Source organism: Homo sapiens, chromosome 7 (assembly GCF_000001405.40).
Source record: "Homo sapiens chromosome 7, GRCh38.p14 Primary Assembly".
NCBI lineage: Eukaryota > Metazoa > Chordata > Mammalia > Primates > Hominidae > Homo > Homo sapiens.
In genome coordinates, this window is record NC_000007.14 from 7,239,834 (window position 1) to 7,251,439 (window position 11,606).

Genomic DNA, 11,606 nt, shown 5'->3' on the forward strand with positions numbered 1-11,606 from the left:
AAATATCTTTCTACAACTTGCCCTTTTCACACAACATTGAGATTTATCAATGTTAATTACATGTCTGCTGTGTTCACTATTATAAGCATTGCTTCAGTGAATAACTGAATGAGACCAGGAATCATGGAACCTAGCTTTTAGGCTCAGTTCTGTTACTAATAATGCCTTTAGGCAAGTCACTAGTTCTCTATGCCTTCTTTTCTGTGGACCTAACGTATAAATAATACACTTCATGCTACTACTGTCATCTTCATAAGGCAATGCTTTCAAATCATCATCTGGAACAGTGATTCTCAACCCAGGGCAATTTTGCCCCCAGAGGACATTTGGCAAGGTCTGGAGACATTTTTGGTTGTTACAGCTAGGAGGCTGCTACTGGCATCTAATGGGTAGAAACCCACTACATTATAAACCTACTAAATGCTAAACATCCTAAAATGCACAGGACAGCCTCCTACAACAAAGAATTACTCTAGCCCAAAATGTCAGTAGTACCATGGTTCAGAGACCCTGGCCTAGAACATCTGACCCAAGCTTTAGGTAATCAGCTTTAAAAGGAAACTTTTGATAGTCTGTTTTTCTATTTTAGTGAGAGTACTACTTTGGATGCTTTTTTGATGTAAACTTTTCTTAATATATTTTGACCATTCCAAGATGACTTGATCTTTTTTCCTTAATTCTGTATCCTTTTCCCATATAAAAAATTTACCCAAATTCAAGAATATAAACATGTAGCAAATACATCCAAATGCATATAAGATCTTACTAAGAGTATCTGATGTTGGATACACATACAGTAGTAGCAAAGGGACATCATAATTGGCAAATTTGTTCTTTCTCTAGAAATTTATCAAATTATGTTGAAGACCATAAAACAGAATTAGAATTCAGAGTACCAAAATTGACCCATCAATCTGACATTGCCTGTTCTCCCTCAGGAGATTCTTACATAAACCCAACGTGAAACTAAAATTCTATTATTATCCATCTATCATTTAGTAAGTTTTCTTCCCCCTAAATGAGTTTAAATCTTATACATACTTTTTTTTTCTATATACTAATTACTGAAAATACAGAAAATTTTTATCTAGCAAGTCAGGGTAAAAGATATTCTAATTCATGAAAGAGTTACATTCCTAAATTTCTTGTTCAGAACTGACTCTTAAGCAGTTCCCTTCCCACTCCACCTTCTTAGTAATAGACTTTTCACCAGAGAAGTTGCAGTGAGTCTTAATATGGTAGATTTAAAATATATGTGTAATTGTTTACATATATATCTCTCTACATGAAAAATTGACTTTTCTGTAGGTCAGAAATGGTCAAATATGATCTACTTTATTCAGTTTTATTTACATTATTCTATCTGAAACATATTAGTACATAAGTGAGGTAGAGAGCTCCTGATTTTTTTAAATTGTTAACTAATTATTCTACTACCATTTTTTAACTCATTACTGATTTAAAATGTCCCCCTTATCATACACTGTAACCTTACTTATAGTAGGATCTAAATCTGGGATTTCATTTCTATGCCATTGTTCTCATTTGATTTTGGCCCAGCACCATATTGTTTTGAACCTTGTAGCTTTACAGCAGTTTTAAGTTACTATTCTAAGGGCAAATTAACTCTTCTTTTTTTCTAAGTGTTTTGGCAACTCATTTCTTTATCTTTGCATACAAACTCATTAATTTAGGGACAATAACATCTTTGCCCAGGATTTTTTGTAAGTCACCTTTTAGGTCCTTTGGTCAAGTTTTATAAACTATTTCCATAGGTATGCAATATTTTTGTTACTGTTCTACTTGGGCTTTTAAAGACTTAACTTTTTACTGATATATATGAAAACTTATTTGTTTGATTTTCTTTTTAAGCATCTTTAAAATCTGGCTTTGTAACTGAATTCTCTATTTCTGATGATTCTTCACTTGAGATTCTTGAGTTTTTTTGGGTAACCATAATTGTCTGCTAGCTCTTGTTTTCTAATAATTATAGCTTTTTACTTTTATTGTCTTTTATTGCATAAATGCTTAACAGAATCCTGGCCATCCAGTAAAATATAAATAAATAAGAGCAATATAATTAATGCAGTAAATCTTATCAAAAATATTATTTTACAGAATATAAAAATTGCTTCCAGAGGTCAGCAATTTATAACTATTACTGGTCTAGTCCTTAAGTTTAATATGCACTGGACAGTATAGTAGCCACTAAGTATGTGTGGTTATTGAGCACTTGAAATGTGGCTAGTCCAAATTGAGATATGCTGTAAATAAAATACACACCTAATTTCAAGAAAGGTTTCATTAATCATCGCAAAACTATTGCATGTTAAAACAGTATGATGAACTTTTTCAGTTAAATAAAATGAAATTTCACTTTTTTTTTTTTTTTTTTACATTTTTTATGTGGCTACTATATGGCTTACATATCTGTTGGACAGAGCTAGTTTAGATAATCACAAGTTGACTTATCTGGTTATTTTTCCTATTTGCTTTTATTCTGATATTTCCTAAAGGTGCAAGAGTAGGTTGTCTAAGAATCTACATATCCAGTGTGTGTTTCAAAGGAAAGTTTAGAGATAACAGCAGAGAAAACGCAGTGGACAGTTTGATAATTTTTACACACTGTAAGCTACATACTTCCAAACATAAATTATTAGATTTATTAAATATTCAGTCAATATGAATCTTCTCTTGGAACTTGCCAGACTATCTCCCTCATTCTTTACAAAGATGTCAGATGGAGCCTGAAGTTTTGTTGGAGTCACCTGGATGACACCAACATTCTCCAGATACCAATTCTGACTCTAGGTTGACTGCTTAATTCATCTCTTTTTCTGTCTTCTTAATTTTCTTGCTTTCTTGTTCGTTGTATTGTTGTTGTTTTATTTTAAACTTTGTTCTCATACCAACCCTATTAGGAATTTATGAGAATTACATAACTGGACAAAGGTTTAAATCTGACCTACCTTAGGGCCACCTGATATGATTTTTCAGTCAATAATAGCTAACATTTATTGGGCATTTATTTTAAGCAAAGGGTAATTTACACACATTGTCTCCTTTAAATAACCACCTTTTACAAATGTGGAAATTAAAGCTTATAGAGATTAAATAACTTACTCAAGGTCGTATACTAGCCCACAAAATTTGGGTTCAAACCCAAGTCTAGGTTGAGAGCTTTGTCTCAAATACTGTACTGTTTGGGTTGATACATATATAGATGAAGTGTATTGGGTTGTAGACACCTAATGGGCAAGGCTTTGTAGTCATTGAATGCCCTAGAGGTATGTTTCCGAGTATGAGCCACACAAAAAATTACAGTGAGAAAATGAGGAAGAGAAAGCAGATGTTGGAGAAGGAGATTTCTCCTTGTATAGCTGCTCCTTTGATTTGAAGAAATCTCAGTAATTTTATCCGCTAAAGAGTGTGAGAGAATATTGTTTCATTTAAAAATACTTTCCACAGTTTCACTTGGTTTCACCAATTTCAATTGGTTTTAAATCATTAGGATGTCTAAGTAAACTATTGATTTCTTCCACAGGTCTAGTACATTAGGTTCCTCTGCTTTACCTTGCCATCTTTAATGTTTGTATTCTTTTAAAATTAGCTGGTCCTTTATAAGTATGTAAATATTGTAGCTAGCAATGTGCTGTTTATTAACAATACCTGTTTCCACTACTTTTTTAGGGTCCTGGTTGCTGCTCTGATCTTGCAGTTTCTTTTCACTATGTTGATTCTACAACCATGTATGAGTTAGAATACCTCGTTTATCATCTTCGTCCATATGGTTATTTATACAGATATCAACCTACCTTACCTGAACGTATACTAAAGGAAATTAGTCAAGCAAACAAAAATGAAGATACAAAAGTGAAGTTAGGAAATCCTTGAAAGAAAATCATGAATGAACAAAGGTAATATGTCTAGCACTGCACTGAAAAAGGACTTCTGCATTTCTGACATAGAACACTGGAATCCCAGTGAGGAATTCTAAGTGAACATTCCTTATAGAAACCTTTCACATGAATGACTATAAACTGAAGCTTTAAATGAGCTGTGAAGTGTGTTAAAATGTGTTTTGATACAGTAATATATAAATATGTCTATATATATGAGGAACTTGTGTTTTTTAAATGGTGGCCAGGTAGAGGAACTAGAAAAGAGATTTTGTTGCCTGTTTTCTGACCATCTGTGTTATTGTCACTGAGAAACTAAAATAGTAAATTTACTAAAACTACACTGCACCATGTTAGTAATAAACAGATCTGCCTTAAAGAAAAGAAAATTTTAGAAAGAAATATTGTTGCTCAGTGTTGTTAATATAGCTCAAGAATTGAGTTTATATTTGCAGTATGCTATAAATGATACCCCCCTACCACACCCACACACACAGTTTTTGTCTAATGAAAATGTTGCTGTGATTATTTATAATTGGTAGTATTTCTTCCAGAAGAAGCTAAAATAAGACTGGCACTTACCCTGAAGTGCATTAATAAAACCACACTTTAAAATTATCATGGGCCTTGACTATATTATATACTTGATTCTAATTAGTCATCTTTTACGCAATCTCTGTTGTCTCTTTTCTAAATGTGTTTAGCCACTCTTGAATACCATTCTCCACTATTAACATTAATTTACTCAAACCGTTCATAGCATTCTGTAAACATGTATTTTACATATTTGTTCCCAAATTTGCCCATTGTTCATTATGGGTAACTAATAATAAATTTAATGCTGTTTCAGGATGCTTTTCTTATAACAGTGCCACTCTCAGGAATTACTAAGTGACATTTTAAATTGATATTTTAAACTCTTTCCAACTACATAGTTATGGTTTATTTCATTCTCATCCTGTTGGGATGAGAACTTGTTTGTGCCTTTCATAACTTGTTTAAAGCAGAGTTTTAAAATTAGTTTATAGGATCTGAGGTGGCTATTAGTTACAGTGGCAAGATTATTTAGAAAGCAAGATTTTGATGAGAATTAAAAACAATAGAAAATGTAGAGTGCTTAAACAAAAATGTTATATTTTGAAAGAGTAGATACTTAATTTATAAATAACAGTCTGAAGGTTGGTGCTATTTTGGGATAATTGTTTTGCTAATGGATAATTCTAACAATGCAGAATACCTAGTCAAGACTGTCATCAAAAACATTCACAAATGTTTCATTCTATTTTTAGTGACTCTGTTTAAAGAGTTTCTGAAAGGAAAGAAATTTTTTATTTTTATTATCTTTAGCAGTACTGAGTGTCATAGCAGAATATTTTACAGACTTTCTATGAGATTATTTTTATGGTACAAAGTATTTACATTTCCCTCATGTTTATCATTATGCCAATTTTACATGGCAGTCATGCCACTGACTCTGCTATTTAGCTAAGTAATTTCTTTTTTCGGAGACTGTCTCACTCTGTCTCCCAGGCTGGACTGCAGTGGTGCGATTCTCCTGCCTCAGCCTCCCGAGTAGCGGGGATTACAGGCACGCGCTGCCACGCCCCGCCAGTTTTCATATTTTTAGTAGAGACAGGGTTTTGCCGTGTTGGCCAGGCTGGTCTTGAACTCCTGACCTCAGGTGATCCACCCACCTTGGCATCCCAAAGTGCTGGGATTACGAGCGTGAGTCACAGCACCCGGCTAAGTAATTTCTATTTATTGTGCCAAAACATGTCAAAATCATGACCTCTTTGAATGGTATATTTGAGAGGATGTTCATTTCATTGGTTAACCATGGACTACTCTGTCCACGTAGTGAAAACATGCACCAGTTTTTACCTATTATCATGGTAGTATCATCTGCCAAAATTTCAAGGCATTCATTTTATTCTTTGAACAACTCTTCACCATGGTGTGGACATGAATTTTCATATGTGTTACTTGACTAGAAGTATAAATGGTTTACTATAGATATCCAAAAACCTTGAGATTTGCTCATAGGAAATGAATATTGTGATGAATCCTGGGCTCTAGAGTCAGACTTGCTTGGGTTTAAATTCTTGCTCTAACACTTACTGTTTTTGTAACCTTGAGCAATTTTAATCTCTCTGTGTCTCAATTTCCTCATCTTTTAATTAGGGATGATAATACTACCTACCTCACAGGATTTTTATGAGGATTAAATAAATGTAAGGTTTTTAGAACATTGATAGGGAGCAATAAATAGAAGATTGTATTATTATTCTGTTACCTTGGAGTGTAAGTACTGCATTTAAGTGAATGAAAAATTTGCTTTGACCAGATACTGAAGGAAATAAGTAATAGCTAGTATTTATCCAATGCCAACTGTATGCTAGGTACTGTGCTTAGATAATCTGTGTATAATAGTGTTAATCCTCAAAATTTGGGTGTTATACCCCTATTATAGATAAGGAAACTGAGGCTCAGAGACAAAGTAACTTTGTCACTGTCACAAAGCTAGTAAGTAACAGAGGTAGGATTTATATTCAAAACCCTGTGTGTTCATTGGAACCGTATCAGGCTTGGGGCTATTCATGTAGCATTATTTCCATTTTTATGTATATGATATATGACGTCTGATGCATTGGCCAGTAATAGTCAAATTAACCCAGCCAAATTGTCACAGTGATTCTTAAACTGTGGTTCTCACACTTGCCCAGGATGTTGTTAAATGCAGATCTGAAGACCCCAATCTCAGAAATTCAAATTTAAGCATGGGGCCCAAGAGTATGCATTCTTACCAGATACCTTGGGCAGTGACTGTCAAAAGTCTGGTCCCAACAAACAGCATTAACGTCACCTGGGAACTTGTTGGAAATGCAGCCTCTCTCGGGGCCTCATCTCAGATCAGATCTACTAAATCAGATACTCTAGGGGCAGGGGCAGGGGCAGGGGCTAGCAGTTGTGTTTAAGCAAACTCTGCAGGTGTCTTTCTTATCCTAGTTTGAGAACCAATACCCAACAACCTACGTGATTTTGGTGCAAGTAGTGTTTGAAACACACTGAAGATTACTGCCCAATTACTAAGACATTTTTCAAAAAGCATGTTTTAAATCAGTGTAGTCCAGGATCACACTATATTAAATATAAAGATAACTTAAAGGATCATTGGATCATTCATTTTGGCCAAATTTTTAGCTTCTCCAAAGTGACTAACATCAGGGCCTACAATAAAATCTGTAATTCTCCAAGTTTAGTAATTTTATATTGAGGCAGGAAGGGCTCATTAAGTACTAATAAGTACATAATTTATTAAAAACATACATAAGTGTCATCAAAAAGGTCCACAATTGTTAGTAAAAAAAATTAAATTGAAGTAGTAAATGCTGTTTTATAACATACATTTTTCTGCTAATTCATTCTGTTTTGTGTGACCTAATAAAGCAAAAGAAAAATAAAAAAGCAATTCTCCAAGTACTTCATAGAGCACATAAAACCAGATTTCATGATGATGATGTATTCACTATCTTTTAGATTAAGATCTTTGTTATTTGGTAAATGATTTCAGTATGGTTTTAAAACATAAGGCTTTTGATGTCTTATGTTCTCTAATAATGGTATGCTTGTATTTTCTAGTGGGAAGTTCATAGATAAAGCAGATTTTTGTCCCAGTTTGCTTTCAAATATAAATTTCAGAGGGCTTTTTCTTACTGTAATGAGGTATGAAAATAAATCATTGATCAGCTCTTAATATTTTTTGAATACAGAATTGGATTTGAGCAGTAAATTTGCTAACTGGTTATTTTCACAATTTTCTTGAATATTAATTTTTCACTTCTTTGAGACTGTCAAACTATAGTTACTACCAGGTTGATGCACTGTACTTGAAAGAATCCCTTGATTAAATTACATCTAGCATTTTATTTGCCATTTCAATTTTCAGTTCATTAGACTATAATTCTTTGACAGTTTCTGCCTGGTGTTTATTGCCCTTCTTTGTTTGCTTTATTACTAACTTCCATTTTCTAGTTACTCTTAAATGCTGCCTTCACAAGGTTAATTTGGCTGTTAATAGTGATTAGAATTTTTATCACTTAATTGATAATTTTAAGCCTACTAACTAGGGTTCCCTATGAAATTGAAAGTAAAAGTCTAAGAATAATGCCTGCTGGCTCTCGAGATACTTGCCCTACTTAAAAATCTATAATTTAAAATTAATTCTATGTCTACAATTATTAAAGGAAGTAAAGTTATTTGGGTTCTTCCACTCACCCTTTTCTCAAAAACAACAACAAAAAACAAAACTCATTTTATTTTTCTACTTTATAGTAGGCCTGACAGAAACATAGTGAAGCAATCTGGGAGGCAACCTGTGGTAGATTTTATGCTAAATGTTAATGTAACCTCTGTTGATTTTTTAAAAATGTGTTTATATATAAGATTTGAAATAAAAACTTTAATACAGGCTAGAATAAGGAATTTTACAAATTCTCTTTAGAGCAACCAACATTAAAGTTTTAGAGTTGAATTTTGCTCTATTTCAACTCCCTTACCTCTCTAGTTTTCAGTTTATATTAAGTTTTAATAACTTTGCGGGGCCCTGCAAATTAATAATCTACATGAAGTATATTATTAGAGGGAAACTAATCTTACTGCTAAGCAGTGTGTTGTACTACATAGTGAATGTTCGTGTTTTGGAATTTAAAAATTATTTAAGGTAATGGTGTTACGAATGGTTTAAAAATGTCTGGTGACTTGCTTATTTTTAAGTGATCACCATTAAGTCAGAAAAATGTATTTTTAAATGTTTCTTGAAGTGCCTTTTGAACATTTTTAAACAGCGGATTTAAATAATGCATAAAATAAATTGCCATGTTCAAAGTTGTTTCATCTGATTATTTTTAACCAATATAAAAGTTGTGAGATAAATGTTGTCTTTTATGGGTAGTTTGGGGTTATTTTTCCAAAAGTTTAAAATTGTTTTCCCATCAAAGCTATTTAGTTTGAATTGGCTTTCATAAGTTTTACTGCAATATATGTATTATTTACTTTAAAGCAACAAAATATTCCACCTCTGACTGAGAATAATATACTGTAAAAAAATTAGAAACACTGTAGTCTAGGTAAGTGTGTCTAGATGGGTGGGGGTGGAAGAGGGGAGAGAATCTCATATATTTAGAGAGAGATTGCTTCTGTGCTCCTTGGTATATTTTGATCTATCTCATACACTGAGAAATTAGTTTATTCAACAAATACTTATGCCAGGCATCTGCTAGAAATACAGTGGTGAGCAAGACATACAGGATGTCTTAATTCTAGAGTTAGAAAATAAGCTAGTAGATGAATAAACAAAGTATTTCATAGAGTGGTATTAGGAAAATAAAAATATTATCAGAACAATTTTCTGGATGGGGTATTAAGGAAGACTAGGAAGTAACATTTGAGCAGAGACTTGAATGTTGAATAACAGACATTTTATATACTTCAGAAGTTACTTTTATCTATGAAATTATTTGCTCCAACTATGTGTTAAAAAAAAAAAAACTTTCCACCCTTGCTTAATCATGCTGTAGGTGTAAGTGAAGGCTTACTGAAATGTACACTATAGGCTAAAAAACTTTGTGTTTTTAGGCATACTTCATCCAGAGCTCAGGTGTATTGATAGATTTGTCTGGGAGTTTCAGAATATGAATAAAAATAGACCTAGTATTTTATCTCTTTCTGGGCAAACAGTTACAAATTCCATAAGGCCCTTGAGTCTAGCCTATATGTCTTGATTTTTCAGTAATCTGCTACCCAGTATGTTATTAGCATGTGTGTGTGCACACGCAAGCATGCATACACACTGTTATTTGGATTAGACAGCTTTAGAAAAGCTGAGGAGATAAATACCACTTCATACTACTTTAGTAGTAGAGTTGTATAATTTAACATATTCAGACAGCTAAATATTTTCCAACCAGCTGTACTGATAATTGTTAAGTCATTGGAAAGTAGATATATTTACCTAAATATATACAATTAAACCTATTTTAAGTTTTCCAAAGGTATGACTTCATAGTACTGGAAAGCATACAAGAAGATTCTTGCTGAATTTATCTCCTTGTTAAAGGGAAGTACTCTACAGAGCTCAACATAGTGGTCGTCTTAAAGTCTAATAATGCTGACAATATGGATTGTTCAAGGGAAATTTTTTTAGTGGTTAAGAATGAACTAACATTTAACTACTAAAGTTGAATGAGTTCAGCAACATTGGCATTCTCCAGATGCATCTGTATTAGTAAAACAGAAGTGAACTTTGTTTTGCCATGAGTTTATTACTAATTAACGCATTTTGTATTGCTGCCTAGAACTTAAAACTGTCTCTGTGTTGCATTTCTTCTACAAAATGTGCTAGTGTTTCTTGTATTATTATCAATATTGCTTTTCTCCAGGACTGAAAATTTGTCCAGGGCATTATATACTTTCTTATATATTGCCCCTGTATAGTGCAGGTTAATACAACAGCTTACTTTGAAATAACAAAATACTCATATTTTAAAAAATGAGATTCAATCCTAGAACTTAGGCTCTTTGGCTTTTCTAATGAATGCCTAGTGAAAGATTAACAGTACTTCATTTCTAGAACTGCCGAATGATGTGCTATCGTAGAACTAATTTGGGTACAGTGTCTTCATTTTTACAACTAATCAGTTTTTGACTTTCATAAGCTTCAATTTTTTTTCATAGAACTACCTAAACTGCATTGTCTCCCCTTCTATACCTCTAACAGTTCATTCTTATTAATTTTCTTGTCTAATTGTTAGATTGTGGAAAGGTGGTGATAAAATCCAGAACATAGGTTTGGAAGAGAAGTAATATGCAACTTTTCCTTTAGTTCTACACATGACTCTCTTCCTTGTTTTTATACTTTTTGGTGGGGTGTGGGTAGGTGAGTGTGGGTATGTATATGTCAGAGACAAAGAAAAAGGATGGTTATGATTATATTTTAATAACTGGATTTTTAATGTAATTGAAGTATTAAAACCACTGCATTTTCATGTTGATTAGGTTTATATAATAAGTGGTTTATTTGATGAAGTGAAGGTAACTATGTGTTTAGAATAATTGGCCACAGATATAATTCCTGATTTTTAAAGTAATTTTTACAAACCTACTTGCCTGACGGAATTTCTCTCTTTTTTGGCCTTTGAATTTATAGCTCTTGGAACCTTCTCCTACTCATCTCTCATTCCATGTTTTTTTCTTTTACCCTTTCTTTTTCTTCTGATTGGCAGCAGCAAGTCTTTAGTTTCTTAAGACTTTTTATTGCCCCCATTCTTTTTTTTTTTTTTTAAGTAGGGACAGGGTCATATTGTGTTGCCCAGGCTGGTCTTTAAACAGTTTGGCCTCCCAGAGTGTTGGGATTATATGCATGAGCCACCATGCCCGGCTGCCTCTATTTTCTATCAAAATGGATGTGTTTAAGACTTTTTAAAAAATTGTGTATCTTTTGTGAACCTCAGTTCCCTCTCACCAGCCTAGAAGTTGCTGAAAGAAAGAAGAGATAGCACTCAAAGAATCGATGCCCACATTATCCTGCAGTTTCCTCTTTCTTAAGGAAATGTTTCCTTCTAGAACCTACTCAGTGAAAATATGGGTGCTTAAATACCTGAAAACCAGTGGGGAGAAAAACTTAATCTTTATAGATAAAAGATTTCAGTG

At 33.0% G+C, this 11,606-nt stretch overlaps 1 protein-coding gene across 16 annotated transcripts in view; it reads left to right on the forward strand.

Annotated features, from left to right (window-relative positions):
- Positions 1–8,783, forward strand: part of C1GALT1 (core 1 synthase, glycoprotein-N-acetylgalactosamine 3-beta-galactosyltransferase 1) — a 91,240-nt gene extending 82,457 nt beyond the window's left edge. For all 16 annotated transcript variants that reach the window (XM_047420620.1, XM_047420623.1, XM_047420617.1 and 13 more), the window contains one exon: positions 3,691–8,783. In XM_047420620.1, coding sequence (XP_047276576.1) covers positions 3,691–3,894 — 204 coding nt within the window. In that variant the 3' untranslated portion in view covers positions 3,895–8,783. The remainder of the gene's footprint in view (positions 1–3,690) is intronic.